The sequence below is a fragment of the Homo sapiens genome, chromosome 19 (genome assembly GCF_000001405.40).
Source record: "Homo sapiens chromosome 19, GRCh38.p14 Primary Assembly".
NCBI lineage: Eukaryota > Metazoa > Chordata > Mammalia > Primates > Hominidae > Homo > Homo sapiens.
In genome coordinates this window covers 45,755,401-45,782,820 of record NC_000019.10, presented here as the reverse complement: position 1 = coordinate 45,782,820, position 27,420 = coordinate 45,755,401, and the positions used below count along the sequence as shown (strand labels likewise).

The window sequence follows — 27,420 nt, the reverse complement described above, 5'->3', positions numbered from 1 at the left end:
TTCTGGAGCTTGTCGGGAGCAAGGGGGTGGTTGCTACTGGGTCACTCAGCCTCAATTGGCCCTGTTTCAGCAATGGGCAGGTTCTTCTTGAAATTCATCACACCTGTGGCTTCCTCTGTGCTCTACCTTTTTATTGGGGTGACAGTGTGACAGCTGAGATTCTCCATGCATTCCCCCTACTCTAGCACTGAAGGGTTCTGAAGGGCCCTGGAAGGAGGGAGCTTGGGGGGCTGGCTTGTGAGGGGTTAAGGCTGGGAGGCGGGAGGGGGGCTGGACCAAGGGGTGGGGAGAAGGGGAGGAGGCCTCGGCCGGCCGCAGAGAGAAGTGGCCAGAGAGGCCCAGGGGACAGCCAGGGACAGGCAGACATGCAGCCAGGGCTCCAGGGCCTGGACAGGGGCTGCCAGGCCCTGTGACAGGAGGACCCCGAGCCCCCGGCCCGGGGAGGGGCCATGGTGCTGCCTGTCCAACATGTCAGCCGAGGTGCGGCTGAGGCGGCTCCAGCAGCTGGTGTTGGACCCGGGCTTCCTGGGGCTGGAGCCCCTGCTCGACCTTCTCCTGGGCGTCCACCAGGAGCTGGGCGCCTCCGAACTGGCCCAGGACAAGTACGTGGCCGACTTCTTGCAGTGGGGTGAGTGCCTACCCTCGGGGCTCCTGCAGATGGGGTGGGGGTGGGGCAGGAGACAGGTCTGGGCACAGAGGCCTGGCTGTTGGGGGGGCAGGATGGCAGGATGGGCATGGGGAGATCCTCCCATCCTGGGGCTCAGAGTGTGGACCTGGGCCCTGGGGCAACATTTCTCTGTCCTATGCCACCACTCTGGAGGGGCAGAGTAAGGTCAGCAGAGGCTAGGGTGGCTGTGACTCAGAGCCATGGCTTAGGAGTCACAGCAGGCTAGGCTGCCAACAGCCTCCCATGGCCTCTCTGCACCCCGCCTCAGGGTCAGGGTCAGGGTCATGCTGGGAGCTCCCTCTCCTAGGACCCTCCCCCCAAAAGTGGGCTCTATGGCCCTCTCCCCTGGTTTCCTGTGGCCTGGGGCAAGCCAGGAGGGCCAGCATGGGGCAGCTGCCAGGGGCGCAGCCGACAGGCAGGTGTTCGGCGCCAGCCTCTCCAGCTGCCCCAACAGGTGCCCAGGCACTGGGAGGGCGGTGACTCACGCGGGCCCTGTGGGAGAACCAGCTTTGCAGACAGGCGCCACCAGTGCCCCCTCCTCTGCGATCCAGGAGGGACAACTTTGGGTTCTTCTGGGTGTGTCTCCTTCTTTTGTAGGTTCTGCACCCACCCCCACCCCCAGCCCCAAAGTCTCGGTTCCTATGAGCCGTGTGGGTCAGCCACCATTCCCGCCACCCCGGGTCCCTGCGTCCTTTAGTTCTCCTGGCCCAGGGCCTCCAACCTTCCAGCTGTCCCACAAAACCCCTTCTTGCAAGGGCTTTCCAGGGCCTGGGGCCAGGGCTGGAAGGAGGATGCTTCCGCTTCTGCCAGCTGCCTTGTCTGCCCACCTCCTCCCCAAGCCCAGGACTCGGGCTCACTGGTCACTGGTTTCTTTCATTCCCAGCACCCTGCCCCTCTGGCCCTCATATGTCTGGCCCTCAGTGACTGGTGTTTGGTTTTTGGCCTGTGTGTAACAAACTGTGTGTGACACTTGTTTCCTGTTTCTCCGCCTTCCCCTGCTTCCTCTTGTGTCCATCTCTTTCTGACCCAGGCCTGGTTCCTTTCCCTCCTCCTCCCATTTCACAGATGGGAAGGTGGAGGCCAAGAAGGGCCAGGCCATTCAGCCTCTGGAAAAACCTTCTCCCAACCTCCCACAGCCCCTAATGACTCTCCTGGCCTCCCTTTAGTAGAGGATGAAGTTGGGTTGGCAGGGTAAACTGAGACCGGGTGGGGTAGGGGTCTGGCGCTCCCGGGAGGAGCACTCCTTTTGTGGCCCGAGCTGCATCTCGCGGCCCCTCCCCTGCCAGGCCTGGGGCGGGGGAGGGGGCCAGGGTTCCTGCTGCCTTAAAAGGGCTCAATGTCTTGGCTCTCTCCTCCCTCCCCCGTCCTCAGCCCTGGCTGGTTCGTCCCTGCTGGCCCACTCTCCCGGAACCCCCCGGAACCCCTCTCTTTCCTCCAGAACCCACTGTCTCCTCTCCTTCCCTCCCCTCCCATACCCATCCCTCTCTCCATCCTGCCTCCACTTCTTCCACCCCCGGGAGTCCAGGCCTCCCTGTCCCCACAGTCCCTGAGCCACAAGCCTCCACCCCAGCTGGTCCCCCACCCAGGCTGCCCAGTTTAACATTCCTAGTCATAGGACCTTGACTTCTGAGAGGCCTGATTGTCATCTGTAAATAAGGGGTAGGACTAAAGCACTCCTCCTGGAGGACTGAGAGATGGGCTGGACCGGAGCACTTGAGTCTGGGATATGTGACCATGCTACCTTTGTCTCCCTGTCCTGTTCCTTCCCCCAGCCCCAAATCCAGGGTTTTCCAAAGTGTGGTTCAAGAACCACCTGCATCTGAATCTAGAGGTACTGGATACAACCCCACGTCTGGGCCGTTACCCAGGACATTCTACATGAGAACGTGGGGGTGGGGCCCTGGCTGCACCTGAACTGTCACCTGGAGTCAGGGTGGAAGGTGGAAGAACTGGGTCTTATTTCCTTCTCCCCTTGTTCTTTAGGGTCTGTCCTTCTGCAGACTCCGTTACCCCACCCTAACCATCCTGCACACCCTTGGAGCCCTCTGGGCCAATGCCCTGTCCCGCAAAGGGCTTCTCAGGCATCTCACCTCTATGGGAGGGCATTTTTGGCCCCCAGAACCTTACACGGTGTTTATGTGGGGAAGCCCCTGGGAAGCAGACAGTCCTAGGGTGAAGCTGAGAGGCAGAGAGAAGGGGAGACAGACAGAGGGTGGGGCTTTCCCCCTTGTCTCCAGTGCCCTTTCTGGTGACCCTCGGTTCTTTTCCCCCACCACCCCCCCAGCGGAGCCCATCGTGGTGAGGCTTAAGGAGGTCCGACTGCAGAGGGACGACTTCGAGATTCTGAAGGTGATCGGACGCGGGGCGTTCAGCGAGGTAAGCCGAACCGGGCGGGAGCCTGACTTGACTCGTGGTGGGCGGGGCATAGGGGTTGGGGCGGGGCCTTAGAAATTGATGAATGACCGAGCCTTAGAACCTAGGGCTGGGCTGGAGGCGGGGCTTGGGACCAATGGGCGTGGTGTGGCAGGTGGGGCGGGGCCACGGCTGGGTGCAGAAGCGGGTGGAGTTGGGTCTGGGCGAGCCCTTTTGTTTTCCCGCCGTCTCCACTCTGTCTCACTATCTCGACCTCAGGTAGCGGTAGTGAAGATGAAGCAGACGGGCCAGGTGTATGCCATGAAGATCATGAACAAGTGGGACATGCTGAAGAGGGGCGAGGTGAGGGGCTGGGCGGACGTGGGGGGCTTTGAGGATCCGCGCCCCGTCTCCGGCTGCAGCTCCTCCGGGTGCCCTGCAGGTGTCGTGCTTCCGTGAGGAGAGGGACGTGTTGGTGAATGGGGACCGGCGGTGGATCACGCAGCTGCACTTCGCCTTCCAGGATGAGAACTACCTGGTGAGCTCCGGGCCGGGGTGACTAGGAAGAGGGACAAGAGCCCGTGCTGTCACTGGACGAGGAGGTGGGGAGAGGAAGCTCTAGGATTGGGGGTGCTGCCCGGAAACGTCTGTGGGAAAGTCTGTGTGCGGTAAGAGGGTGTGTCAGGTGGATGAGGGGCCTTCCCTATCTGAGACGGGGATGGTGTCCTTCACTGCCCGTTTCTGGGGTGATCTGGGGGACTCTTATAAAGATGTCTCTGTTGCGGGGGGTCTCTTACCTGGAATGGGATAGGTCTTCAGGAATTCTAACGGGGCCACTGCCTAGGGAAGGAGTGTCTGGGACCTATTCTCTGGGTGTTGGGTGGCCTCTGGGTTCTCTTTCCCAGAACATCTCAGGGGGAGTGAATCTGCCCAGTGACATCCCAGGAAAGTTTTTTTGTTTGTGTTTTTTTTTGAGGGGCGGGGGCGGGGGCCGCAGGTGGTCTCTGATTTGGCCCGGCAGATCTCTATGGTTATCTCTGGGCTGGGGCTGCAGGTCTCTGCCCAAGGATGGGGTGTCTCTGGGAGGGGTTGTCCCAGCCATCCGTGATGGATCAGGGCCTCAGGGGACTACCAACCACCCATGACGAACCCCTTCTCAGTACCTGGTCATGGAGTATTACGTGGGCGGGGACCTGCTGACACTGCTGAGCAAGTTTGGGGAGCGGATTCCGGCCGAGATGGCGCGCTTCTACCTGGCGGAGATTGTCATGGCCATAGACTCGGTGCACCGGCTTGGCTACGTGCACAGGTGGGTGCAGCATGGCCGAGGGGATAGCAAGCTTGTTCCCTGGCCGGGTTCTTGGAAGGTCAGAGCCCAGAGAGGCCAGGGCCTGGAGAGGGACCTTCTTGGTTGGGGCCCACCGGGGGGTGCCTGGGAGTAGGGGTCAGAACTGTAGAAGCCCTACAGGGGCGGAACCCGAGGAAGTGGGGTCCCAGGTGGCACTGCCCGGAGGGGCGGAGCCTGGTGGGACCACAGAAGGGAGGTTCATTTATCCCACCCTTCTCTTTTCCTCCGTGCAGGGACATCAAACCCGACAACATCCTGCTGGACCGCTGTGGCCACATCCGCCTGGCCGACTTCGGCTCTTGCCTCAAGCTGCGGGCAGATGGAACGGTGAGCCAGTGCCCTGGCCACAGAGCAACTGGGGCTGCTGATGAGGGATGGAAGGCACAGAGTGTGGGAGCGGGACTGGATTTGGAGGGGAAAAGAGGTGGTGTGACCCAGGCTTAAGTGTGCATCTGTGTGGCGGAGTATTAGACCAGGCAGAGGGAGGGGCTAAGCATTTGGGGAGTGGTTGGAAGGAGGGCCCAGAGCTGGTGGGCCCAGAGGGGTGGGCCCAAGCCTCGCTCTGCTCCTTTTGGTCCAGGTGCGGTCGCTGGTGGCTGTGGGCACCCCAGACTACCTGTCCCCCGAGATCCTGCAGGCTGTGGGCGGTGGGCCTGGGACAGGCAGCTACGGGCCCGAGTGTGACTGGTGGGCGCTGGGTGTATTCGCCTATGAAATGTTCTATGGGCAGACGCCCTTCTACGCGGATTCCACGGCGGAGACCTATGGCAAGATCGTCCACTACAAGGTGAGCACGGCCGCAGGGAGACCTGGCCTCTCCCGGTAGGCGCTCCCAGGCTATCGCCTCCTCTCCCTCTGAGCAGGAGCACCTCTCTCTGCCGCTGGTGGACGAAGGGGTCCCTGAGGAGGCTCGAGACTTCATTCAGCGGTTGCTGTGTCCCCCGGAGACACGGCTGGGCCGGGGTGGAGCAGGCGACTTCCGGACACATCCCTTCTTCTTTGGCCTCGACTGGGATGGTCTCCGGGACAGCGTGCCCCCCTTTACACCGGATTTCGAAGGTGCCACCGACACATGCAACTTCGACTTGGTGGAGGACGGGCTCACTGCCATGGTGAGCGGGGGCGGGGTAGGTACCTGTGGCCCCTGCTCGGCTGCGGGAACCTCCCCATGCTCCCTCCATAAAGTTGGAGTAAGGACAGTGCCTACCTTCTGGGGTCCTGAATCACTCATTCCCCAGAGCACCTGCTCTGTGCCCATCTACTACTGAGGACCCAGCAGTGACCTAGACTTACAGTCCAGTGGGGGAACACAGAGCAGTCTTCAGACAGTAAGGCCCCAGAGTGATCAGGGCTGAGACAATGGAGTGCAGGGGGTGGGGGACTCCTGACTCAGCAAGGAAGGTCCTGGAGGGCTTTCTGGAGTGGGGAGCTATCTGAGCTGAGACTTGGAGGGATGAGAAGCAGGAGAGGACTCCTCCTCCCTTAGGCCGTCTCTCTTCACCGTGTAACAAGCTGTCATGGCATGCTTGCTCGGCTCTGGGTGCCCTTTTGCTGAACAATACTGGGGATCCAGCACGGACCAGATGAGCTCTGGTCCCTGCCCTCATCCAGTTGCAGTCTAGAGAATTAGAGAATTATGGAGAGTGTGGCAGGTGCCCTGAAGGGAAGCAACAGGATACAAGAAAAAATGATGGGGCCAGGCACGGTGGCTCACGCCTGTAACCCCAGCAATTTGGCAGGCCGAAGTGGGTGGATTGCTTGAGCCCAGGAGTTCGAGACCAGCCTGGGCAATGTGGTGAGACCCCCGTCTCTACAAAAATGTTTTAAAAATTGGTTGGGCGTGGTGGCGCATGCCTGTATACTCAGCTACTAGGGTGGCCGACGTGGGCTTGAGCCCAGGAGGTCAAGGCTGCAGTGAGCTGTGATTGTGCCACTGCACTCCAGCCTGGGCAACGGAGAGAGACTCTGTCTCAAAAATAAGATAAACTGAAATTAAAAAATAGGCTGGGCTGGCCGGGCGTGGTGGCTCACGCCTGTAATCTCAGCACTTTGGGAGGCCGAGGCGGGTGGATCACGAGGTCAGGAGATCGAGACCATCTTGGCTAACACGGTGAAACCCCATCTCTCCTAAAAATACAAAAAATTAGCCAGGCGTGGTGGCGGGCGCCTGTAGTCCCAGCTACTCAGGAGGCTGAGGCAGGAGAATGGCGTGAACCCGGGAGGCAGAGTTTGCAGTGAGCCGAGATCGTGCCACTGCACTCCAGCCTGGGCGACAGAGCGAGACTCTGTCTCAGAAAAAAAAAAAAAAAAAAAAAAAAATAGGCTGGACCGCGGCCGGGCGCTGTGGCTCATGCCTGTAATCCCAGCACTTTGGGAGTCCAAGGCCGGTGGGTCATGAGATCAGGAGTTTTGAGACTAGGCTGGCCAACACGGTGAAACCCCGTCTCTACTAAAAATACAAGAAAATTAGCTGGGTGTGGTCTCGGGTGCCTGTAATTCCAGTTACTGGGGAAGCTGAGGCAGGAGAATTGCTTGAACCTGGGAGGCAGAGTTTGCAGTGAGCCAAGATCATGCCACTACACTCCAGTCTGGGTGACAGAGTGAGACTCTGTCTCAAAAAAAAAAAAAAAAAAAAGGGTTGGGCAAGGTGGTTCACGCCTGTAATCCCAGAACTTTGGGAGGCTGAGGCAGGCAGATCACTGGAAGTCAGGAGTTCAAGACCAGCCTGGCCAACATGGTGAAACCCTGTGTCTACTAAAAATACAAAATTTAGCCAGGCTTGGTGGCGTATGCCTGTAATGCCAGCTACTCAGGAGGCTGAGGCAGGAGAATCGCTTGATTGAACCTGGGAGGCAGAGTTTGCAGTGGGCTGGGGTTGTGCCACTGCACTCTAGGCTGGGAGACAGCAAGACTCCATCTAAAAAAAAAAAACAGAACTGGGCTGGGCACAGTGGCTTATATTTGTAATCCCAGCACTTTGGGAGGCTGAGGTTGGAGGACTGCTTGAGCCCAGAGTTTGGGACTACAACAGCTGAGGTAGGCGGATCACTTGAGGTCAGAAGATGGAGACCAGCCTGGCCAGCGTGGCGAAACCCCGTCTCTACCAAAAATATAAAAAATTAGCCAGGCGTGGTAGAGGGCGCCTGTAATCTCAGCTACTCAGGACGCTGAGGCAGGAGAATCGCCTGAACCTGGGAGGCGGAGGTTGCAGTGAGCTGAGATTGCACCACTGCACTCCAGCCTGGGTAACAGAGCGAGACTCCGTATCAAAGAAAAAGAAAAAAGAAAAAATGCTGGAGGGGCCACTTTAGATAAGCCCTGAGTTGGGGCTGGTTTGGGGGGAACATGTAAGCCAAGATCAAAAAGCAGTGAGGGGCCCGCCCTGACGACTGCTGCTCACATCTGTGTGTCTTGCGCAGGAGACACTGTCGGACATTCGGGAAGGTGCGCCGCTAGGGGTCCACCTGCCTTTTGTGGGCTACTCCTACTCCTGCATGGCCCTCAGGTAAGCACTGCCCTGGACGGCCTCCAGGGGCCACGAGGCTGCTTGAGCTTCCTGGGTCCTGCTCCTTGGCAGCCAATGGAGTTGCAGGATCAGTCTTGGAACCTTACTGTTTTGGGCCCAAAGACTCCTAAGAGGCCAGAGTTGGAGGACCTTAAATTTTCAGATCTATGTACTTCAAAATGTTAGATTGAATTTTAAAACCTCAGAGTCACAGACTGGGCTTCCCAGAATCTTGTAACCATTAACTTTTACGTCTGTAGTACACAGAGCCACAGGACTTCAGAACTTGGAAAATATGAAGTTTAGACTTTTACAATCAGTTGTAAAAGAATGCAAATTCTTTGAATCAGCCATATAACAATAAGGCCATTTAAAAGTATTAATTTAGGCGGGCCGCGGTGGCTCACGCCTGTAATCCTAGCACTTTGGGAGGCCAAGGCAGGTGGATCATGAGGTCAGGAGATCGAGACCATCCTGGCTAACACGGTGAAACCCCGTCTCTACTAAAAATACAAAAAAATTAGCCGGGCATGGTGGCGGGCGCTTGCGGTCCCAGCTACTTGGGAGGCGAGGCAGGAGAATGGCATGAACCCGGGAGGCGGAGCTTGCAGTGAGCCGAGATCATGCCACTGCACTCCAGCCTGGGCGACAGAGCAAGACTCCGTCTCAAAAAAAAAAAAAAAAAAGTATTTATTTAGGCCGGGTGTGGTGGCTCACGCCTGTAATTCCAGTGCTTTGGGAGGATGAGGTGGGTGGATCACCTGAGGTCAGGAGTTCGAGACCAGCCTGACCAACGTGGAGAAACCTCATCTCTACTAAAAAACAAAATTAGCCAGGCGTGGTGGCATATACCTGTAATCCCAGCTACTCAGGAGGCTGAGGCAGGAGAATCAGAACCCAGGAGGGGGAGGTTGTGGTGAGCTGAGATCGTGCCATTGCATTCCAGCCTGGGCAACAAGAGTGAAACTTCATCTCAAAAAAAAAAAAAAAAAAGTACTAATTTACAGGCTGGGCATGGTGGCTCACGCTTGGAATCCCAGCACTTTGGGAGGCTGAAGTGGACGGATTGCTTCAGCCCAGGAGTTCAAGACCAGCCTGAGCAACATAATGAGACCCTGTCTCTACAAAAAATTGAAAAAATCGTGCCAGGCATGGTGGTCTGTGCCTGCAGTCCTAGCTACTCAGGAGTCTGAAGTAGGAGAATCACTTGAGCCTGGAGTTTGAGGCTTCAGTGAGCCATGATAGATTCCAGCCTAGGCAACAAAGTGAGACCTGGTCTCAACAAAAGTATTAATTACACAAATAATGCATTGCTTATCACAAGTAAATTAGAAAATACAGATAAGGAAAAGGAAGTTGATATCTCGTGAGCTCACCAGATGGCAGTGGTCCCTGGCTCACACGTGTACTGACACATGTTTAAATAGTGGAGAACAGGTGTTTTTTTGGTTTGTTTTTTTCCCCTTCCTCATGCTACTTTGTCTAAGAGAACAGTTGGTTTTCTAGTCAGCTTTTATTACTGGACAACATTACACATACTATACCTTATCATTAATGAACTCCAGCTTGATTCTGAACCGCTGCGGGGCCTGAACGGTGGGTCAGGATTGAACCCATCCTCTATTAGAACCCAGGCGCATGTCCAGGATAGCTAGGTCCTGAGCCGTGTTCCCACAGGAGGGACTGCTGGGTTGGAGGGGACAGCCACTTCATACCCCAGGGAGGAGCTGTCCCCTTCCCACAGCTGAGTGGGGTGTGCTGACCTCAAGTTGCCATCTTGGGGTCCCATGCCCAGTCTTAGGACCACATCTGTGGAGGTGGCCAGAGCCAAGCAGTCTCCCCATCAGGTCGGCCTCCCTGTCCTGAGGCCCTGAGAAGAGGGGTCTGCAGCGGTCACATGTCAAGGGAGGAGATGAGCTGACCCTAGAACATGGGGGTCTGGACCCCAAGTCCCTGCAGAAGGTTTAGAAAGAGCAGCTCCCAGGGGCCCAAGGCCAGGAGAGGGGCAGGGCTTTTCCTAAGCAGAGGAGGGGCTATTGGCCTACCTGGGACTCTGTTCTCTTCGCTCTGCTGCTCCCCTTCCTCAAATCAGGAGGTCTTGGAAGCAGCTGCCCCTACCCACAGGCCAGAAGTTCTGGTTCTCCACCAGAGAATCAGCATTCTGTCTCCCTCCCCACTCCCTCCTCCTCTCCCCAGGGACAGTGAGGTCCCAGGCCCCACACCCATGGAACTGGAGGCCGAGCAGCTGCTTGAGCCACACGTGCAAGCGCCCAGCCTGGAGCCCTCGGTGTCCCCACAGGATGAAACAGTAAGTTGGTGGAGGGGAGGGGGTCCGTCAGGGACAATTGGGAGAGAAAAGGTGAGGGCTTCCCGGGTGGCGTGCACTGTAGAGCCCTCTAGGGACTTCCTGAACAGAAGCAGACAGAAACCACGGAGAGACGAGGTTACTTCAGACATGGGACGGTCTCTGTAGTTACAGTGGGGCATTAAGTAAGGGTGTGTGTGTTGCTGGGGATCTGAGAAGTCGATCTTTGAGCTGAGCGCTGGTGAAGGAGAAACAAGCCATGGAAGGAAAGGTGCCAAGTGGTCAGGCGAGAGCCTCCAGGGCAAAGGCCTTGGGCAGGTGGGAATCCTGATTTGTTCCTGAAAGGTAGTTTGGCTGAATCATTCCTGAGAAGGCTGGAGAGGCCAGCAGGAAACAAAACCCAGCAAGGCCTTTTGTCGTGAGGGCATTAGGGAGCTGGAGGGATTTTGAGCAGCAGAGGGACATAGGTTGTGTTAGTGTTTGAGCACCAGCCCTCTGGTCCCTGTGTAGATTTAGAGGACCAGACTCAGGGATGGGGCTGAGGGAGGTAGGGAAGGGAGGGGGCTTGGATCATTGCAGGAGCTATGGGGATTCCAGAAATGTTGAGGGGACGGAGGAGTAGGGGATAAACAAGGATTCCTAGCCTGGAACCAGTGCCCAAGTCCTGAGTCTTCCAGGAGCCACAGGCAGCCTTAAGCCTGGTCCCCATACACAGGCTGAAGTGGCAGTTCCAGCGGCTGTCCCTGCGGCAGAGGCTGAGGCCGAGGTGACGCTGCGGGAGCTCCAGGAAGCCCTGGAGGAGGAGGTGCTCACCCGGCAGAGCCTGAGCCGGGAGATGGAGGCCATCCGCACGGACAACCAGAACTTCGCCAGGTCGGGATCGGGGCCGGGGCCGGGGCCGGGATGCGGGCCGGTGGCAACCCTTGGCATCCCCTCTCGTCCGGCCCGGACGGACTCACCGTCCTTACCTCCCCACAGTCAACTACGCGAGGCAGAGGCTCGGAACCGGGACCTAGAGGCACACGTCCGGCAGTTGCAGGAGCGGATGGAGTTGCTGCAGGCAGAGGGAGCCACAGGTGAGTCCCTCATGTGTCCCCTTCCCCGGAGGACCGGGAGGAGGTGGGCCGTCTGCTCCGCGGGGCGTGTATAGACACCTGGAGGAGGGAAGGGACCCACGCTGGGGCACGCCGCGCCACCGCCCTCCTTCGCCCCTCCACGCGCCCTATGCCTCTTTCTTCTCCTTCCAGCTGTCACGGGGGTCCCCAGTCCCCGGGCCACGGATCCACCTTCCCATGTAAGACCCCTCTCTTTCCCCTGCCTCAGACCTGCTGCCCATTCTGCAGATCCCCTCCCTGGCTCCTGGTCTCCCCGTCCAGATATAGGGCTCACCCTACGTCTTTGCGACTTTAGAGGGCAGAAGCCCTTTATTCAGCCCCAGATCTCCCTCCGTTCAGGCCTCACCAGATTCCCTCCGGGATCTCCCTAGATAACCTCCCCAACCTCGATTCCCCTCGCTGTCTCTCGCCCCACCGCTGAGGGCTGGGCTGGGCTCCGATCGGGTCACCTGTCCCTTCTCTCTCCAGCTAGATGGCCCCCCGGCCGTGGCTGTGGGCCAGTGCCCGCTGGTGGGGCCAGGCCCCATGCACCGCCGCCACCTGCTGCTCCCTGCCAGGGTACGTCCGGCTGCCCACGCCCCCCTCCGCCGTCGCGCCCCGCGCTCCACCCGCCCCTTGCCACCCGCTTAGCTGCGCATTTGCGGGGCTGGGCCCACGGCAGGAGGGCGGATCTTCGGGCAGCCAATCAACACAGGCCGCTAGGAAGCAGCCAATGACGAGTTCGGACGGGATTCGAGGCGTGCGAGTGGACTAACAACAGCTGTAGGCTGTTGGGGCGGGGGCGGGGCGCAGGGAAGAGTGCGGGCCCACCTATGGGCGTAGGCGGGGCGAGTCCCAGGAGCCAATCAGAGGCCCATGCCGGGTGTTGACCTCGCCCTCTCCCCGCAGGTCCCTAGGCCTGGCCTATCGGAGGCGCTTTCCCTGCTCCTGTTCGCCGTTGTTCTGTCTCGTGCCGCCGCCCTGGGCTGCATTGGGTTGGTGGCCCACGCCGGCCAACTCACCGCAGTCTGGCGCCGCCCAGGAGCCGCCCGCGCTCCCTGAACCCTAGAACTGTCTTCGACTCCGGGGCCCCGTTGGAAGACTGAGTGCCCGGGGCACGGCACAGAAGCCGCGCCCACCGCCTGCCAGTTCACAACCGCTCCGAGCGTGGGTCTCCGCCCAGCTCCAGTCCTGTGATCCGGGCCCGCCCCCTAGCGGCCGGGGAGGGAGGGGCCGGGTCCGCGGCCGGCGAACGGGGCTCGAAGGGTCCTTGTAGCCGGGAATGCTGCTGCTGCTGCTGCTGCTGCTGCTGCTGCTGCTGCTGCTGCTGCTGCTGCTGCTGCTGGGGGGATCACAGACCATTTCTTTCTTTCGGCCAGGCTGAGGCCCTGACGTGGATGGGCAAACTGCAGGCCTGGGAAGGCAGCAAGCCGGGCCGTCCGTGTTCCATCCTCCACGCACCCCCACCTATCGTTGGTTCGCAAAGTGCAAAGCTTTCTTGTGCATGACGCCCTGCTCTGGGGAGCGTCTGGCGCGATCTCTGCCTGCTTACTCGGGAAATTTGCTTTTGCCAAACCCGCTTTTTCGGGGATCCCGCGCCCCCCTCCTCACTTGCGCTGCTCTCGGAGCCCCAGCCGGCTCCGCCCGCTTCGGCGGTTTGGATATTTATTGACCTCGTCCTCCGACTCGCTGACAGGCTACAGGACCCCCAACAACCCCAATCCACGTTTTGGATGCACTGAGACCCCGACATTCCTCGGTATTTATTGTCTGTCCCCACCTAGGACCCCCACCCCCGACCCTCGCGAATAAAAGGCCCTCCATCTGCCCAAAGCTCTGGACTCCACAGTGTCCGCGGTTTGCGTTGTGGGCCGGAGGCTCCGCAGCGGGCCAATCCGGAGGCGTGTGGAGGCGGCCGAAGGTCTGGGAGGAGCTAGCGGGATGCGAAGCGGCCGAATCAGGGTTGGGGGAGGAAAAGCCACGGGGCGGGGCTTTGGCGTCCGGCCAATAGGAGGGCGAGCGGGCCACCCGGAGGCACCGCCCCCGCCCAGCTGTGGCCCAGCTGTGCCACCGAGCGTCGAGAAGAGGGGGCTGGGCTGGCAGCGCGCGCGGCCATCCTCCTTCCACTGCGCCTGCGCACGCCACGCGCATCCGCTCCTGGGACGCAAGCTCGAGAAAAGTTGCTGCAAACTTTCTAGCCCGTTCCCCGCCCCTCCTCCCGGCCAGACCCGCCCCCCCTGCGGAGCCGGGAATTCCGAGGGGCGGAGCGCAGGCCGAGATGGGGAATGTGGGGGCCTGCAGAGGACCCTGGAGACGGAGGCGTGCAGAAGCTCAGTCTCGGGGCGGAGGCTTCGCGCCCTTAGTCCTCCTGGACGGCCCGTTACCTTCTGCGTTGTCCCGATGGGGAAACTGAGGCCCTGAGCCAGAAGCACACGCTGGGGGGAGGCAGAAAGCGCGGCCAGAGGCGGAGGGAAAACAAAGGGAGAATCACAGACAGACGGGAGGGGGACGGACACACACAAGGGGACAGAGACCCGAGTGGAGAGCTGGATCTCGCCTTCCCGGCGTGGGGCGCAGGGTCGGCCAGAAAGAAGATCGAGAAGAGCGGGGAGTGGGGGCGAAAAGGGGGGACAGGTGGGGGAGGAGGCTGGGGAAAGCCCGAGGGAGGAAGAGAGGGAGGGAGGAACTTCCCAAAGTTGCAAAACATGGCTACCTTGCCTGCGGAGCCGAGCGCGGGGCCGGCGGCTGGGGGGGAGGCGGTGGCGGCGGCGGCGGCGACCGAAGAGGAGGAGGAGGAAGCGCGCCAGCTCTTGCAGACTTTGCAGGCGGCCGAGGGTGAGGCGGCGGCGGCGGCCGGGGCCGGGGCGGGCGCAGCGGCTGCGGGAGCTGAGGGCCCGGGATCCCCGGGCGTCCCCGGGTCGCCCCCCGAGGCCGCTTCCGAACCGCCCACGGGCCTCCGCTTCTCGCCCGAGCAGGTGGCGTGCGTCTGCGAGGCGCTGCTCCAGGCGGGCCACGCCGGCCGCTTGAGCCGCTTCCTGGGCGCACTGCCCCCGGCCGAGCGCCTACGTGGCAGCGACCCGGTGTTGCGCGCGCGGGCCCTGGTGGCCTTCCAGCGGGGCGAGTACGCCGAGCTCTACCGGCTACTCGAGAGCCGCCCCTTCCCCGCCGCCCACCACGCCTTCCTGCAGGACCTCTACCTGCGCGCGCGCTACCATGAGGCCGAGCGGGCCCGCGGCCGCGCGCTTGGCGCAGTGGACAAGTATCGACTGCGCAAGAAGTTCCCGCTGCCCAAGACCATCTGGGACGGCGAGGAGACAGTCTACTGCTTCAAGGAGCGCTCCCGCGCAGCGCTCAAGGCCTGCTACCGCGGCAACCGCTACCCCACGCCGGACGAGAAGCGCCGCCTGGCCACACTCACCGGCCTGTCGCTCACGCAGGTCAGCAACTGGTTCAAGAACCGGCGACAGCGCGACCGGACCGGGGCCGGAGGCGGCGCGCCCTGCAAGAGGTGAGGGGCCTCGGGCGGCGCAAGTCCAGCTCTCCCGGGGACATCCCGTCCACCAGCCCTCTTCCCCCGTGCCCACTGCTGGGGCCGGCGCGCCGAGGTCCTCGGACATCTCCCGGGACCAGCTCACAATCTCAGGCGCCCGCGGGGCGCGGGGACTAAGTGTGGACGGGACAGGCACCCGCCCGGGCCCTCTCCCCGCACGCGTCTCCTCTTCCAGCGGCTCCATTCCGAGCTCCTTCCCAAATCCCATCGGTGTTGGGGAATCACACTGCGGGGGGCACTAGAGGGACTGAGGAAAAAGGACAGGGCCTGTGGCCACTCCACTCCGCGTAGGGGCTGCCTCCCAGCCCCCTTTCTTCACTGACCGTTACTCTTACCCACCCGCCCCCACACTCCCTCCGGGCCCGGACGGCGTGGTCCGTCTTCTGCCTTTGTTGTGAAACGTGAACCTTTCCCAGCTCCGGTTTCCCTGTAACCCAAACCCTTCTCCTCCCACCCTGAGCGCCGGCCTCTCCCTTCTCTGACGCCCCGCGGGGAGGGCACCGGGAACTGGGCTGGCGGCTGCTGCTCCCTCTCTCCAGGCCACTCGCCCGCTTTCCGCCCAACCAAGGAACTTTTAGGGCAACCTGGGAGCTCAGCCTCTGGGGACCCGAGGCCGAGGTGGGGGAGAGCAAGGGCCTCTTCCCTCCCCAGCGCTTCTCTGCAGTGGTGTCCACGCAGGGCTTGCAAAAGGCCCTGGAGTTTGGAGTGGTCTCAGAGAGGCGTCATAACCCCTGGAATGATCCACCGAAACTTGGGCCAGGGAAAGGTGGGGGAGCAGCTGGCTGGCTATGCGGGAGGCCCCACAGGCTAAGGGACCCCAGCTGACAGCCATTTCTCCGGCCAGCGAGTCTGATGGGAATCCCACGACTGAGGACGAGTCCAGCCGAAGTCCTGAGGACCTGGAGAGAGGGGCGGCCCCAGTGTCCGCCGAGGCCGCTGCCCAGGGCTCCATATTCCTGGCAGGGACCGGCCCTCCCGCGCCTTGCCCGGCTTCCTCCTCCATCCTGGTGAACGGGAGCTTCCTGGCAGCCAGCGGCTCCCCAGCAGTGCTCCTCAACGGGGGCCCCGTCATCATCAACGGCCTGGCCCTGGGCGAGGCCTCCAGCCTGGGCCCGCTGCTGCTCACTGGGGGCGGGGGTGCCCCTCCACCGCAGCCCAGCCCTCAGGGGGCCAGCGAGACCAAGACCTCTCTGGTCCTGGACCCTCAGACAGGGGAGGTGCGGCTGGAGGAGGCTCAGTCGGAGGCCCCTGAGACCAAAGGGGCCCAGGTGGCTGCTCCGGGACCAGCCCTTGGAGAGGAGGTCCTGGGGCCCCTGGCCCAAGTGGTGCCTGGCCCCCCGACGGCTGCCACCTTTCCTCTGCCCCCGGGGCCAGTGCCTGCTGTGGCTGCCCCACAAGTGGTACCGCTCTCCCCACCCCCGGGGTATCCCACGGGCCTGAGCCCCACCTCCCCACTATTGAACCTGCCCCAGGTAGTACCCACCTCACAGGTGGTGACCCTGCCCCAGGCTGTGGGGCCCCTGCAGCTGTTGGCAGCCGGGCCAGGCAGCCCTGTGAAGGTGGCAGCTGCAGCAGGCCCTGCCAATGTGCACCTCATCAACTCCGGGGTGGGCGTGACTGCCCTGCAGCTGCCTTCGGCCACTGCCCCAGGTACCCCCATCTCCCTCCCTCAGGCCTAGGTGAGAGCCGGGGAGGGGTGCAGTCATCTCGGAGAGGGAGGGGCTGTCCCTGGGCTCCTGGAGGGCATCTCATCCCTGGCAAGTCCCAGTGCCCCAAGGCCCACCACAAGGCTCCCTCCGCCCGCCCTCCAGCTGCACAGTCTCCACTTCTCTCTGGCTTGGCCTGCTCTCCTGGCTCTCACCTGCGCTCGGTCCCTCTCTCCCCACAGGAAACTTCCTCCTGGCCAACCCTGTGTCTGGCAGCCCCATCGTGACGGGTGTGGCCCTGCAGCAGGGCAAGATCATCCTCACCGCCACCTTCCCCACCAGCATGCTCGTCTCCCAGGTCCTGCCGCCAGCCCCCGGCCTGGCCCTGCCACTGAAGCCAGAGACGGCCATCTCCGTGCCTGAGGGAGGCCTCCCGGTGGCCCCCAGCCCTGCTCTCCCAGAGGCTCACGCCCTAGGCACCCTTTCTGCACAGCAGCCACCCCCCGCCGCTGCCACCACCTCCAGCACCAGCCTGCCCTTCTCCCCTGACTCCCCTGGCCTCCTGCCCAACTTCCCGGCGCCCCCACCAGAGGGGCTGATGTTGTCACCCGCGGCCGTGCCTGTCTGGTCAGCAGGGCTGGAACTAAGCGCAGGAACAGAGGGGCTGCTGGAAGCGGAAAAGGGGCTGGGGACACAGGCCCCCCACACCGTGCTGAGGCTGCCAGACCCCGACCCTGAGGGGCTGCTCCTGGGGGCCACCGCAGGGGGTGAGGTTGACGAGGGGTTGGAAGCTGAGGCCAAGGTTCTGACCCAGCTCCAGTCGGTGCCTGTGGAGGAGCCCTTGGAACTGTGACCCAGTGTGGCCCCGTGGCCTCTCCCGACATTGGTGCTGAAGACGCAGGGACAGGAATGGGAGGGGGGAGCCCCAGAAATGCGGTTGCTGAAGACCCCAGTCACCACATCCTTCTGCCTGGGTGGCCTCTCCAAGCCCTGGTGGTGCTGGGGGTTGTATCCCCGGCCACCTCCTGTCCAGGTCTCCATCCCCCTTTGGATGGGAGGCCTCTCTGTTACAGCCCTCCCCATGCTGTGCCCTGCCATATACGTGGGGGACTCAGGGTCCTGACTCAGGGGCCCTGCCCCCTCCACTTGGTACTAGCTGTAAGCGGAACACCCTGCCCCAGGGCCGGACTTCCAGCCCCCAGAGCCCTCTCCCTGTCACTCCCTGAAACACTATTAATAGCTCTGCCGATAGCTGGTGTTGTCACAACTGCCTGGAATCCGAAGGTGGAGGACAGGCAGCCCCGCGCCCCTGAGACTGGAGACCCTCCCCAGTGTGGCATTTCCTGCCAGGGGCGGGGGGTGGGGCAGCTGTGGGGAGACGGGGGTCTTCCTTCACCAGCTCCCCTCGACTCAAGCCCTTGTCCTCATTATCCGGCCCAGACCAAAGATTCCCTCATCCCTGGGGGCAGCCCTGCCGCTGTGTCTCCTTTGTATCCTAAATCTTTATTTTTCTAGGACATGTTATGCCTCCATTTTCAATTAAAATAAAGTTATCGGATTACACCACCACCAGGGGTCTGGGGTGCCTTCCAGTGTCTGTCCAAAGCAGCGCTGAACACAGAGCCCACCTCGAGACCTGGCCTTCCCATTGCTGCCTCCCGAGGGGAAGAGGGGTTTGCATTCAGATGCACAGAGTGGCTGGGGAGGGGGTGGCACTGAGGCCTCTTGCAAGCCACAGGCCTCCAGATGAGGGTGGACGGAGCACCCCAGTGGGGCAGCAGGGGGACGCAGGAGGGCCTGCCCTTGTCTCTCTTGCTGGTAACAAAGGTTCCACTTGCTTTATTTTATTTAAAACAATAAATAGTCTAAAAATAGAACAGGAGAGGGAGGAGTAGGGTGAGGTGAGCATGAACAGGGTTGCAACCGAGTGGCTCTGGGGTGGGGAAGGGAAGGGGAGAGGGGTGGGTAAACTTCACCTTCCGACACCCCGCATTTCATTTTGGGTTTCCTTCCTAAGCCTGGGGGAGAATCAAGGCAGCTGTGGGTGACTCTGGTGCTCCAGGCAAATGTGCCCAGCGGTTGGGGCTAATCAGTGCCCCCCTCCCCAGTCCCATGGGACCTGCATTCTCAGGGGCTGGAGGCCCAGGAGGGACAAGTTCATCGATGGGTCCTGGCTTCCAGCAAGAGCCGCGGTTGCCATGAGGGGTGAGGGGAGCGAGGCGAGGGGCCGCCCTCTCACTGGAGGTGCGGGGGCAGCGGCAAGGCCTTCTCGGCCAGCAGCTGGTAGAAGGGCTTTGGCGTCTCCCAGTCCTCAGCCTCGCTGCTGGAGCCGTCCTGCTTCACGATGCGGTTGTGCTGGCGGCTGAACCTGCGAGCCTTGGTGCTGGGGAGACGGTGGCAGGATGGCCTGGCTTCCTCACTCGCCTCCCGGGCATCCCTGTACCACTCCCAATCCTGTGTCCCCGCAGGGGCCTGGGCCACCGTTTTAGCCTCTATTGGGCGAGCCTTGGGTCCACCAAGTCCCAGTCAGTAAGATGGGACTCGGCCAAGGGCTCTGGGATGTGTTCAAAGTCAGGAGCCAGGGCAGGTGGCAGCTCCTTGAAGGTGGAGGGGACAGGATTCGGGGGAGTCGAGGTGGCCAAGCGACAGGAAAATCAGACCACGCCCCGAGAAAGTCGTGTGGCAGAGACAGCAAAAGAATTGAGGCAGGGGTCCATGTCTGGGCTCAGCTGTTCCCCAGCTTAGCTGTGGTGGGGTACCCCTACACCTGTGTCACCCCCAAGGGTTTCATAAGAAGGGGCAACACGCAAATTCCTCGGCCCAGTCTCCCATGCCATGACACCCAAGGCTCCAGAGACAGAGCAGGGTTCCGGGGTAGGGAGGCTCTTCCACCCCCCACCCACACCTCGGGGCCGGAGCCTCTCACCAGTATGGCCTCCGCTCCTGCTGGGTCATCACCCGCCACAGCTGGGCCAGCTCCTTGGTGGCAGCTGTGGAAGCGGTTCCAGGGCAGGATCTGGGACAGGAAGGAGGAGGAGGTAAGGAGAGGTCTGCAGGACACCCTGACTGAGAACTCAGACCCTTCCTAGCCTTGTGGGTCTACAAGGCCTCCAAGACCACCCTCTGGAGCTGAGGAGGCAGAGGGAGCTGGACTCAGCGGCTGTTCACAAGGGGGCACCTGGTGTCCCAGGAGAGTGCAGGGGACCTGTGGGCACCGCTCCTGGCCCCCACATCTGGATCTTCCTGTAAAGGAACTAGCTGTTTTCCACTGTGGCTTGGGGGGGGCCTCCCCATCCCCTGGCTCCAGGCCTGGCAGTGACTGGTTCAGGGTTGGCACCGGATCTACCAAAGTCAGTCCCAAGGACTTTGCTTAAAACCTTAGAGACCTCTCCTCCTCCCGGGGTCGCTTGGGTGGGGGACAGGACCCGAGCCTGTGCCTCCTGGGGTGACCCCACCTGCCAGAGAATGAAGCCAGCCCGGAAGACAGAGGAACTGGGTGAAAAGGACAAAGATTCCAGACAGCCTGTGTGAGCCCTAAAACCAGCTATGTCTCAAGGCAGTCTATACCCGCCCTTGTTTTCTAGGTTATATAAGCCAATTCATTTTCTTTTCTTGCTGGGCCTGATGGCTCACACCTGTAATCCCAGCAATTTGAGAGGCCGAGGCAGGCAGATCACTTGAGGTGAGGCATTCGAGACCAGCCTGGCCAACATGGTGAAACCCTGTCTCTACTAAAAATACAAAAATTAGCTGATGGCGCGCCTGTTATCCCAGCTACTCAGGAGGCTGAGGCAGGAGAATCTGAGAGGCAGAGGTTGCAGTGATTTGAGCCCGGGAGGCAGACATTGCAGTGAGCTGTGATTGTGCCACTGCACTACAGCCTGGGCAATAGAGTGAGACTCTGTCTCAAAAAACAAAACAAAACAAAAAAAACTCCTTTTTTTCTGAAGTCTAAAGCCTGAATTGGGTTTCAGCGCTGACAATGGATGGACCCTGTCCAATACAATGGGGCCGGGTTCAGTTCTGGGGAAGAACTGTGGTCCACGAAGGGTTTGTGGGGTCTCGGAGGGGGAAAAAGTGTCAGACAGTTGTGAGGAGCGGCATGGCCAGGCTGCGGGCAGAGAACGAAGCCAGGGCCTTCCCCAGGGCCAAAGACGACCCCCTACCCACCGGATGTACTGCTTCCGGTTCATCCTGCAGAACATGATGAAGCCGTTGACACACTTCTTCTTCATCTGGGGTGGGCAGGGGCCTTTCTTCTTCTCCTTGGGCTTCACAGGGGCCCTGGCTACTTGGCCCTTCGTGGCCTTTTTCTCAGCTGCCAGCAGGGGTGAGGCCAGCCGGGTGGGGGTCCATGTGGTGTCTTCGTCCTCTTCGCTGGAGCCCGGCGTGCCCACAGGGTTGGCCTGCATATCCTGGGGGAGGGAGAGGGTGGTGAGAGAGGAAGGAGGCCCTGCTGGCCCTGGCATGCGGCCGTGTCTCTCACCTCTCGCTGCTTCCACAGGGGCTCCGAGTCGCTGTCCTCCGAGCTGGAGCTGGAGCTGGAGCTGGAGCTGGAGCTGGATGGCGCCTTGCTGTTCCCGCTCAGCGAGAGGTAGCAGTGGTCCAGCGAGACTGAGGACCGGTGCAGGCTGTGGGACTCAGGAGGGTCTTTGGGGGCCTTGGAGGCTGTGTCCTGGGGCATGATGAGGGAGAAAGATGGGAGGGGAGACAAGTGGTGCCCCTTCATCCCCCCAGTACTGCTTTTCTAGGACATAACATGAGCATTAGCAGCAGCTCAGATTGGCAGGGTGTGGTGGCTTACGCCTGTAACCCCAACACTCTGGGAGGCTGAGGCAGGAGGACTGCTTGAGGCCAGGAGTTACAGACCAGCCTGGGCAACATAGAGAGACCTTGTTCTACAAAAAAAAAAAAAAAAAAAAAAAAAAAATAGGCCAGGCGCAGTGGCTCATGCCTGTAATCTCAGCACTTTCGGAGGCTGAGGCAGGAGGATCACCTGAGGTCAGGAGTTCAAAACCAGCCTGGCCAACATGGCGAAACTCTGTCTAAAAATACTAAAAAATTAGCCAGGTATGTTGGTGGGCGCCTGTAGTCCCAGCTACTCTGGAGGCTGAGGCACAAGAATCGCTTAAATCCAGGAGGCGGAGGTTGCAGTGAGCCGAGATCGTACCACTGCACTCCAGCCTGGGTGACAGAGTGAGACTCTGTCTCAAAAAAAAAAAAAGAAATTGAATTAAGTTAAATTTAAAAATAATTTAAAAAACCAGCTGGGCATGGTGGTGTGGGAGGGTCATTTGAGCCCAGGAGTTCAAGGCACTGATCTATGATGGTGACACTGCACTCCAGCCTGGGCAACAAAGCAAGACCCTGTCTTTCTTTCTTTCTTCCTTTCTTTTCTTTTTTTTCTTTTCTTTCTTTTTTTTTTTTTTGAGACGGAGTCTTACTCTTGTCCCTCAGGCTGGAGTGCAATGGCACCATCTCAGCTCCATTCTCCACCTCTTGGGTTCAAGTGATTCTCCTGCCTCAGACTCCTGAGTAACTGGGGTTACAAGTGCCCACCACCACGCCCAGCTAATTTTGTATTTTTAGTAGAGAGGGGGTTTCATCATATTGGTCAAGCTAGGTTTAAACTCCTGACCTCAGGTGATCTGCCCGCCTCAGCCTCCCAAAGTGCTAGAAGTATAGGCATGAGCCACCACGCCCGGCCACACCCTGATAATTTCTTTTTCTTTTTCTTTTCCTTTTTTGAGACTGGGTTTCGCTCTTGTTGCCCAGGCTGCAGTCCAACGGTGCCATCTTGGCTTACTGCAACCCCCGCCTCCCAGGTTTAAGCGATTCTTCTGCCTCAGCCTCCTGAGTAGCTGGGATTACAGGCACGTACCACCACACCCGGCTAATTTTGTATTTTTAGTAGAGATAGTATTTCGCCATGATGGCCAGACTGGTTGGTCTCCAACTCCTGACCTCAGGTGATCTGCCCTCCTCGGCCTCCCAAAATAGTGGGATTACAGGCGTGAGCCACCACGCCCGGACACTTCTTGTATTTTTAGTAGAAATGGGGTTTCCCCATGTTGGCCAGGCTGGTCTTGAACTCCTGATCTCAGGTGATCCGCCTACGTCAGCCTCTCAAACTGCTGAGATTACAGGTGTGAGCCACCGCGCCCAGCTTAGTCTTTTGATTTCAATTTCCTTATCTGTAAAATGGGGCCACAGGAGACCCTGCTTCGTAGAGTAGTTGTAAAATGATGTGGGAAGCTGGGCACGGTGGCTCACACCTGTAATCCCAGCACTCTAGGAGGCCAAGGTGGGCGGATCACTCGAGGTCAGGAGTTGGAGACCAGCCTGGCCAACATGGTGAACCCCCATCTCTACTAAAAATACACAATTAGCCGGGTGTGGTGACAGGCACCTGTAATCCCAGCTACTAGGGGGGCTGAGGCAGGAGAATTGTTTGAACCCGGGAGGCGGAGGTTACAGTGAGCCGAGATCGCACCACTGCACCCCAGCCTGGGCGACAACAGGGAAACTCAGTCTAAATAAAATAAAATAAAATAAAATAAAATAAATGAATAAAATGATGTGAGTTTTCTTTTCTATGGGCACCTGGCAGCTTTTATCCTTTTTTATCCATTTTGTCCAATTCGTTCCACGTGCCCAGCACAGAGCCGGCATCTGGTGGCCACCAGTGAGCGCAGAGAGGGTCGGGGGGCGGTTTTAAGGATGAGGAGACGCATGAGTGGAAGGACAGATGGGTAGATGGTGGCTGAAAGGGTGAGGGAGTGGATGAGTGAATGAAGCCATGAGTGACGTGTGTGGAAAGACGGATGGATGTGTCTGTGGACAGAGGGGCAGAGGATGTCTACCTTTTCCTGTGGAGCCTCCTGCGTGTAGGCTGAAGGTGAAGACTCCAGATCTAAGCACACTTCTTCAAAGAAAGCCGCTAGGGAGGGAGACCAGAGGGGCAGCCAGAGTGGAAATGCTTCTCCCACACCGCCCAGCTTCAGCCACACCGTCCCTGCTAGCCGGAGTCCCCGTCTCTGGCGTTCTCCTTCAGGATCTCCCACCCTAGGTCCAAATCCCGCTCACAGCCCACTCCCCTGGGTCACCTCCAACACACAGAGTGAGCTCAAGTCCTGCTATGGGCTTCTAAAGCCACCCATGCACCACACCAGCCTGTGGCTGCTCCCCCACTAGGCCGTGGGCTCCTTGAGGCAGGGCCAGGGCAGGATTCACCCCGGGCACCCAGGATGGCCCAGCGCAGGCCTGGGCACCGTATGTTTCCCGAATGAACTAAGCATCAGGGCCAGGCCTGGGCCTCACCTTGGGTCAGGTACTCCATGTCATCCTCCAAGATCTCGTCTGGCAGCAGTTTCCCTGGGGAGCTGAAAAGGCTAGGGCTGAGCCCGAGGATCTCACTTGGGTGGCCTGTTCCACTCCAGACATCAATCTGGGGAGGCCCCAGGAACAGTGGGCTCCCTGGAAAGGGAACAGCAGACTCAGGGGTGTGGCCAGAGATCACCCTCTGCCCTAGCACAGCAGCTGGCATTGAGGAGATAGTGCCTGATGCTACGGAAAGCGAATCTCAGTTTCTCATTTTGAATTCTTGATCACAGAAATGAAGAGGCAGCCGGCTGCGATGGCTCACGCCTGTAACCCAGCACTTTGGGAGGCCAAGGTGGGCGGATCATTTGAGATCAGGAGTTCAAGACCAGCCTGGCTAACATGGTGAAACCCCGTCTCTACTAAAAAATACAAAACTTAGCTGGGGGTAGTGGCACGTGCCTGTAATCTCAGTTACTCAGGAGGCTGAGGAAGGAGAATCGCTTGAACCCAGGAGCAGAGGTTGCAGTGAGCCGAGATCGTGCCACTGCACTCCAGCCTGGGTGACAGAGTGAGACCCTGTCTCAAAATTTAAAAAAAAAAGAAGAAGAAATGAAGCAAAATGATGTTTGGCATTATGTCAGGGATGGCCAAAAAAAAAGAAAAATCAATATCATAATGTGCAAAGTCCCATAGGCTGATTATAACTACCTGCAGCTCTGCAACAAGAAAGATTCTGAGGTCAGATGCGGGGGCTCACGCCTATAATCCCAGCGCTTTGGGAGGCCGAGGCAGGTGGATCACCTGAGGTCAGGAGTTCGAGACCAGCCTGGCCAACACGGTGAAACCCTGTCTCTACTAAAAATATAAAAATTTGCTAGGCGTGGTGGTGCACACCTGTAATCCCAGCTACTCAGAGGCTGACACAGAATCACCTGATCCTGGGAGGCAGAAGTTGCAGTGAACTGAGATAGTGCCACTGCACTCTAGCCTGGGAGACAAGAGTGAAACTCCGTCTCAAAAAAAAAAAATGGATTCTGAGGTCGGGAGCAGGGGCACGTGCCTGTAATCCCAGCACTTTGAGAAGCTGAGGCAGGACGATCCCTTGAGTCCAGGAATTGGAGGCCTCAGTGAGCTGTGATTGCGCCACTGCACTCCAGCCTCAGGGCGAGAACTTGTCTCAAAAGAAAAAACAAAACAAAAACACAAAAAGAGTTCGGAGGGGTGGTTCATGCCTGTAATCCCAACACTTTGGGAGGCTGAGGCGGGCAGATCACCGTAGGTCAGGAGTTTGAGACCAGCCTGGCCAACATGGTGAAACCCCATCTCTACTAAAAATACAGAAATTAGCTGGGCATGGTGGTGGGCACCTGTAATCCCAGCTACTCGGGAGGCTGAGGCAGGAGAATCACTTGAACCCAGCAGACAGAGGTTGAAGTGAGCTGAGACTGCGCCACTGTACTCCAGCTTGGACGACAGAGTGAAACCCTATCTCAAAAAAGAAAACAAACAAACCAAAAAGACCCAGAATGATTCTGAGGCCATGTCTGGGCTCAAGGAAAGAGTGGTGATTGATTGTCAAGCCTCCGTGGCAGCGGTGGCGGAGAGCTGGCAGGTGCACTGTGTGTTTGCCTTCCCTGTGCTTAGGGGATCTCCATTCCCTTTCCCGCCTCCTCTCTTCCATAGACATCCTCAGACTGAAAGTATGGGAAGGCCCACACCAGCCTACAAGGAGGAGAGACAGAGTTGCAGTCACCTTGGGGGCTGTTCTCTGGGGTCCAGGCAGGGAGCCAAGGGTCAGCGTCTAGGGACCCTTTGTCCACATCCTCGCTGGAATCATAGAACACCAGCTTCTGCCTGCAAGAGGTGGAGTTTCAGAGTCAGACTCACAGACTCTGGGCTAGAAACTGCTATGGGGCCCCTTTGGCACTCTGCACTGGCCCCTGGGGGAGTGCTGGGGGTGTAAAGCTCAGTCAGTCGAGGCTCCCATCCTCAGGGAGCTTACAGTCTCATGAGGATAGCCCAGCCCGTAAGCAGTGCTGTGACCGAGGGCGCTGGAGGATGATGAGCCAGTGGAGAGCAGTGGGCTCAGCCTGAGGGATGGGCAGTTTTCCAGGGGCACAGGGAAGCAGGCTATCCAGGAAGAAGTACTGGAATGTGAGAAGCTCAGAGGGGCTGGCGCAGGGCTTCTGGGGAATGGCAAATGTGTGGCAGTGTGAAGTATAAGAGTCATGGGTGAAGGGCAGGAGAGAGGGCTGACGAGGTGAGTTGGGGGCCACTGAAGGTCTCAAAGGCCAGGTGAAATATCCGGGCCGGGTGCAGTGGCCCATACCTATAATCCCAGCACTCTGGGAGGCTGAGGTGGGAGGATTGCTTGAGCCTACGAGTTCAAGACCAGCCTAGGCAACATAGGGGGACCTCATTTCTACAAAAAATAAACATAAAAAAATTAGCTGGGTGTGGTGGTGTGCACCTGTGGTCCCAGCTACTCAGGAAGCTGAGGCAGGAGGACTGCTTGAGCCCTGAAGGTTGAGGCGGCAGTGACCTATGATTGTGCCACTGCTCTCTGGCCTGGGCGACAGAGTGAGACCCTGTCTCAAACAAACAAACAAACAAAAATATTGGACTCTATGCTGCAGGCCTGAGGAAGGGCTTTAAGCCACAAACTCCGTGGTCAACGTCTCTGTGTTGGAAAAGCCATGTGGTCACATGAGGATGGGATGGAGGGGCAACAGGTGAGGCAAAGAGACTGGTGAGGAAGCTGTGACCATGTCTGGGAAATGGGAAGTCAGGCTTTCCTGCGAGCTCACAATGGCAGACACAAAGCTGGGCCTCCATTGGTGCTCAAGGGGCACCCGCAGAGGACGTGACTTGGCCTGTCTTCCCACTACCCCTCACCCACGCCAGACCAAACCCCTCAGCACCACTCACTCAGTGCCCTGGGGACGCCCTTACCTGGGATGGGGCTGGGTCTTGTTGAGAAAATGGATCCTCGCCACATCTTCCTGAGCCAGGAGCGCAGGGAAAGGTGCGTCATCCTGGACACTGCCCTGGCACCAGCAGCCTAAGGGGCAGATCAGGATGACCATGCCTGGGGACTGGACCAAATTCCAGGAAGCCCAGAAGCAGGGGACAAAGGGGTGCCAGCTTCTGCCACACACCCTCTCACTCCCCAATCCTAGCCCAAACCTCAGGATGCAGGGTGTCACGTTGGTGTGAGGCTGAGGGGTGCCCCAAATCACCCCTGGGTTTTTTGAATCCCACATCCCTATCAGAAGCTGTAATGGGGGCTGGGCACCGTGGCTCATACCTGTAACCCCTGCACTTTGGGAGGCTGAGGCGGTGGATCACGAGGTCAGGAGTTCAAGACCAGCCTGGCCAACACGGTGAAACCCCGTCTCTACTAAAAATACAAAAATTAGCCGGGCATGGGTGCGGGCGCCTGTCCCAGCTACTCAGGAGGCTGAGGCAGAGAATTGTTTGAACCTGGGAGGTAGAGGTTGCAGTAGCCGAGAGTGCACCACTGCACTCCAGCATGGGCGACAGAGCAAGACTTTGTCTCAAAACAAACAAAAAACTCTAATGGGCCCGGCACAGTGCCTCACACCTGTAATCCCAGCACTTTGGGAGGCC

General features: G+C 59.3%; 3 protein-coding genes and 1 long non-coding RNA gene across 20 annotated transcripts in view, besides 25 other annotated features; 2 read left to right on the top strand and 2 right to left on the bottom strand.

The window, feature by feature from the left end:
- DMPK (DM1 protein kinase) lies at nucleotides 331–13,104 on the top strand. Of its 14 annotated transcripts, none has more exons than NM_001424163.1 (16): nucleotides 331–628; nucleotides 2,440–2,498; nucleotides 2,952–3,043; nucleotides 3,299–3,382; nucleotides 3,462–3,557; nucleotides 4,180–4,328; nucleotides 4,601–4,694; nucleotides 4,948–5,154; nucleotides 5,231–5,494; nucleotides 7,787–7,872; nucleotides 10,069–10,180; nucleotides 10,893–11,050; nucleotides 11,156–11,253; nucleotides 11,425–11,471; nucleotides 11,765–11,850; nucleotides 12,181–13,104. In NM_001424163.1, exons 1-16 carry the CDS (start codon nucleotides 450–452, stop codon nucleotides 12,338–12,340), a joined length of 1,971 nt encoding a protein of 656 aa, NP_001411092.1. In that variant the 5' UTR covers nucleotides 331–449; the 3' UTR covers nucleotides 12,341–13,104. The 14 variants fall into 14 exon arrangements, with proteins under 14 accessions (NP_001411092.1, NP_001275693.1, NP_001411095.1 ...); NM_001288764.2 differs by having other exon boundaries at nucleotides 11,761–11,850; NM_001424166.1 differs by lacking the exon at nucleotides 2,440–2,498 and having other exon boundaries at nucleotides 3,543–3,687.
- Nucleotides 3,100–3,269: a silencer, noted in NCBI's record as "silent region_10798". NCBI's record gives its function as "represses an Ori minimal core promoter by ATAC-STARR-seq in GM12878 lymphoblastoid cells {active_cell/tissue: GM12878}" and the evidence as "EXISTENCE:reporter gene assay evidence [ECO:0000049][PMID:35858748]".
- Nucleotides 5,113–5,846: an enhancer, noted in NCBI's record as "H3K4me1 hESC enhancer chr19:46280233-46280966 (GRCh37/hg19 assembly coordinates)". NCBI's record gives its function as "activates a minimal SCP1, AML or CMV promoter by ChIP-STARR-seq in primed H9 embryonic stem cells {active_cell/tissue: H9 hESC(primed)}" and the evidence as "EXISTENCE:reporter gene assay evidence [ECO:0000049][PMID:30033119]".
- Nucleotides 9,826–10,176: an origin of replication, noted in NCBI's record as "IS-DMPK; amplicon D (PMID:20711191) and amplicon C (PMID:22354993); peak of nascent strand synthesis detected by quantitative PCR of lambda exonuclease-digested DNA". NCBI's record gives the evidence for it as "EXISTENCE:nuclease protection assay evidence [ECO:0001106][PMID:20711191]".
- Nucleotides 9,826–16,028: a biological region, named in NCBI's record as "origin of replication in DMPK trinucleotide repeat region".
- Nucleotides 10,673–11,230: an enhancer, noted in NCBI's record as "H3K27ac-H3K4me1 hESC enhancer chr19:46274849-46275406 (GRCh37/hg19 assembly coordinates)". NCBI's record gives its function as "activates a minimal SCP1, AML or CMV promoter by ChIP-STARR-seq in naive H9 embryonic stem cells {active_cell/tissue: H9 hESC(naive)}" and the evidence as "EXISTENCE:reporter gene assay evidence [ECO:0000049][PMID:30033119]".
- DM1-AS (DM1 locus antisense RNA) lies at nucleotides 10,938–15,025 on the bottom strand. Its single transcript, NR_147193.1, has 2 exons — nucleotides 14,690–15,025; nucleotides 10,938–11,331 (listed from the first exon to the last, which is right to left on the bottom strand). It is a non-coding gene; the product is annotated as a DM1 locus antisense RNA (long non-coding RNA).
- Nucleotides 11,680–12,189: a silencer, noted in NCBI's record as "silent region_10797". NCBI's record gives its function as "represses an Ori minimal core promoter by ATAC-STARR-seq in GM12878 lymphoblastoid cells {active_cell/tissue: GM12878}" and the evidence as "EXISTENCE:reporter gene assay evidence [ECO:0000049][PMID:35858748]".
- Nucleotides 12,230–12,309: an enhancer, noted in NCBI's record as "active region_14820". NCBI's record gives its function as "activates an Ori minimal core promoter by ATAC-STARR-seq in GM12878 lymphoblastoid cells {active_cell/tissue: GM12878}" and the evidence as "EXISTENCE:reporter gene assay evidence [ECO:0000049][PMID:35858748]".
- Nucleotides 12,430–12,589: a silencer, noted in NCBI's record as "silent region_10796". NCBI's record gives its function as "represses an Ori minimal core promoter by ATAC-STARR-seq in GM12878 lymphoblastoid cells {active_cell/tissue: GM12878}" and the evidence as "EXISTENCE:reporter gene assay evidence [ECO:0000049][PMID:35858748]".
- Nucleotides 12,461–12,521: a protein binding site, noted in NCBI's record as "DM site 1". NCBI's record gives its function as "may negatively regulate DNA replication" and the evidence as "EXISTENCE:protein binding evidence [ECO:0000024][PMID:11479593]".
- Nucleotides 12,554–12,616: a microsatellite, noted in NCBI's record as "trinucleotide repeat region".
- Nucleotides 12,555–12,616: a tandem repeat, named in NCBI's record as "dystrophia myotonica protein kinase repeat instability region".
- Nucleotides 12,557–12,616: a repeat instability region, noted in NCBI's record as "repeat instability region; expansion of the (CTG)n trinucleotide repeat (CAG relative to the plus strand of the reference genome) can be associated with myotonic dystrophy type 1". NCBI's record gives the evidence for it as "EXISTENCE:polymerase chain reaction evidence [ECO:0000082][PMID:1310900]" and "EXISTENCE:Southern hybridization evidence[ECO:0000078][PMID:1310900, PMID:1346925]".
- Nucleotides 12,718–12,778: a protein binding site, noted in NCBI's record as "DM site 2". NCBI's record gives its function as "may negatively regulate DNA replication" and the evidence as "EXISTENCE:protein binding evidence [ECO:0000024][PMID:11479593]".
- Nucleotides 12,750–12,859: an enhancer, noted in NCBI's record as "active region_14819". NCBI's record gives its function as "activates an Ori minimal core promoter by ATAC-STARR-seq in GM12878 lymphoblastoid cells {active_cell/tissue: GM12878}" and the evidence as "EXISTENCE:reporter gene assay evidence [ECO:0000049][PMID:35858748]".
- Nucleotides 13,020–13,099: an enhancer, noted in NCBI's record as "active region_14818". NCBI's record gives its function as "activates an Ori minimal core promoter by ATAC-STARR-seq in GM12878 lymphoblastoid cells {active_cell/tissue: GM12878}" and the evidence as "EXISTENCE:reporter gene assay evidence [ECO:0000049][PMID:35858748]".
- Nucleotides 13,114–13,298: a silencer, noted in NCBI's record as "fragment chr19:46272781-46272965 (GRCh37/hg19 assembly coordinates)". NCBI's record gives its function as "represses an EF-1alpha promoter that drives an FKBP-Casp9 reporter gene in an ReSE screen in phorbol 12-myristate 13-acetate-treated (for megakaryocytic differentiation) K562 erythroleukemia cells {active_cell/tissue: K562(+PMA)}" and the evidence as "EXISTENCE:reporter gene assay evidence [ECO:0000049][PMID:32094911]".
- Nucleotides 13,114–13,689: a biological region, named in NCBI's record as "ATAC-STARR-seq lymphoblastoid silent region 10795".
- Nucleotides 13,150–13,689: a silencer, noted in NCBI's record as "silent region_10795". NCBI's record gives its function as "represses an Ori minimal core promoter by ATAC-STARR-seq in GM12878 lymphoblastoid cells {active_cell/tissue: GM12878}" and the evidence as "EXISTENCE:reporter gene assay evidence [ECO:0000049][PMID:35858748]".
- Nucleotides 13,569–18,036, top strand: SIX5 (SIX homeobox 5). The gene is made up of 3 exons (NM_175875.5): nucleotides 13,569–14,779; nucleotides 15,666–16,471; nucleotides 16,710–18,036. The coding sequence occupies exons 1-3, from the start codon at nucleotides 13,977–13,979 to the stop codon at nucleotides 17,318–17,320; spliced, it is 2,220 nt and encodes a 739-aa protein (NP_787071.3). The 5' UTR covers nucleotides 13,569–13,976; the 3' UTR covers nucleotides 17,321–18,036.
- Nucleotides 13,731–13,808: an origin of replication, noted in NCBI's record as "IS-SIX5; amplicon G (PMID:22354993); peak of nascent strand synthesis detected by quantitative PCR of size-fractionated DNA". NCBI's record gives the evidence for it as "EXISTENCE:fractionation evidence [ECO:0000100][PMID:22354993]".
- Nucleotides 14,050–14,269: a silencer, noted in NCBI's record as "silent region_10794". NCBI's record gives its function as "represses an Ori minimal core promoter by ATAC-STARR-seq in GM12878 lymphoblastoid cells {active_cell/tissue: GM12878}" and the evidence as "EXISTENCE:reporter gene assay evidence [ECO:0000049][PMID:35858748]".
- Nucleotides 14,591–15,150: an enhancer, noted in NCBI's record as "H3K27ac-H3K4me1 hESC enhancer chr19:46270929-46271488 (GRCh37/hg19 assembly coordinates)". NCBI's record gives its function as "activates a minimal SCP1, AML or CMV promoter by ChIP-STARR-seq in naive H9 embryonic stem cells {active_cell/tissue: H9 hESC(naive)}" and the evidence as "EXISTENCE:reporter gene assay evidence [ECO:0000049][PMID:30033119]".
- Nucleotides 14,720–14,849: a silencer, noted in NCBI's record as "silent region_10793". NCBI's record gives its function as "represses an Ori minimal core promoter by ATAC-STARR-seq in GM12878 lymphoblastoid cells {active_cell/tissue: GM12878}" and the evidence as "EXISTENCE:reporter gene assay evidence [ECO:0000049][PMID:35858748]".
- Nucleotides 15,215–15,850: an enhancer, noted in NCBI's record as "H3K27ac-H3K4me1 hESC enhancer chr19:46270229-46270864 (GRCh37/hg19 assembly coordinates)". NCBI's record gives its function as "activates a minimal SCP1, AML or CMV promoter by ChIP-STARR-seq in naive H9 embryonic stem cells {active_cell/tissue: H9 hESC(naive)}" and the evidence as "EXISTENCE:reporter gene assay evidence [ECO:0000049][PMID:30033119]".
- Nucleotides 15,814–16,028: an origin of replication, noted in NCBI's record as "amplicon J (PMID:20711191); peak of nascent strand synthesis detected by quantitative PCR of lambda exonuclease-digested DNA". NCBI's record gives the evidence for it as "EXISTENCE:nuclease protection assay evidence [ECO:0001106][PMID:20711191]".
- Nucleotides 18,280–27,420, bottom strand: part of MEIOSIN (meiosis initiator) — a 31,103-nt gene continuing 21,962 nt past the window's right edge. For all 4 annotated transcript variants that reach the window (NM_001310124.2, XM_011527571.3, XM_011527574.3 and 1 more), the window contains 8 exons: nucleotides 26,743–26,851; nucleotides 25,544–25,644; nucleotides 23,788–23,943; nucleotides 23,331–23,407; nucleotides 20,954–21,142; nucleotides 20,638–20,882; nucleotides 19,394–19,483; nucleotides 18,280–18,850 (listed from right to left, as the gene is read on the bottom strand). In NM_001310124.2, the coding sequence (NP_001297053.1) occupies nucleotides 18,703–18,850; nucleotides 19,394–19,483; nucleotides 20,638–20,882; nucleotides 20,954–21,142; nucleotides 23,331–23,407; nucleotides 23,788–23,943; nucleotides 25,544–25,644; nucleotides 26,743–26,851 (1,115 nt within the window). In that variant the 3' untranslated portion in view covers nucleotides 18,280–18,702. The remainder of the gene's footprint in view (nucleotides 18,851–19,393; nucleotides 19,484–20,637; nucleotides 20,883–20,953; nucleotides 21,143–23,330; nucleotides 23,408–23,787; nucleotides 23,944–25,543; nucleotides 25,645–26,742; nucleotides 26,852–27,420) is intronic.
- Nucleotides 18,725–19,279: an enhancer, noted in NCBI's record as "H3K27ac-H3K4me1 hESC enhancer chr19:46266800-46267354 (GRCh37/hg19 assembly coordinates)". NCBI's record gives its function as "activates a minimal SCP1, AML or CMV promoter by ChIP-STARR-seq in primed H9 embryonic stem cells {active_cell/tissue: H9 hESC(primed)}" and the evidence as "EXISTENCE:reporter gene assay evidence [ECO:0000049][PMID:30033119]".

Bases quoted from the DNA above. Each gene is read 5' to 3' on its own strand.
- DMPK (NM_001424163.1), top strand. From the start codon at position 450: ATGGTGCTGCCTGTCCAACATGTCAGCCGAGGTGCGGCTGAGGCGGCT. The intron at 3,383-3,461 runs GTGAGGGGCTGG...GGTGCCCTGCAG, and splicing joins ACATGCTGAAGAGGGGCGAG to GTGTCGTGCTTCCGTGAGGA. The intron at 3,558-4,179 runs GTGAGCTCCGGG...ACCCCTTCTCAG, and splicing joins TCCAGGATGAGAACTACCTG to TACCTGGTCATGGAGTATTA.
- SIX5 (NM_175875.5), top strand. From the start codon at position 13,977: ATGGCTACCTTGCCTGCGGAGCCGAGCGCGGGGCCGGCGGCTGGGGGG. The intron at 14,780-15,665 runs GTGAGGGGCCTC...TTCTCCGGCCAG, and splicing joins GGCGGCGCGCCCTGCAAGAG to CGAGTCTGATGGGAATCCCA. The intron at 16,472-16,709 runs GTACCCCCATCT...CTCTCCCCACAG, and splicing joins GCCTTCGGCCACTGCCCCAG to GAAACTTCCTCCTGGCCAAC.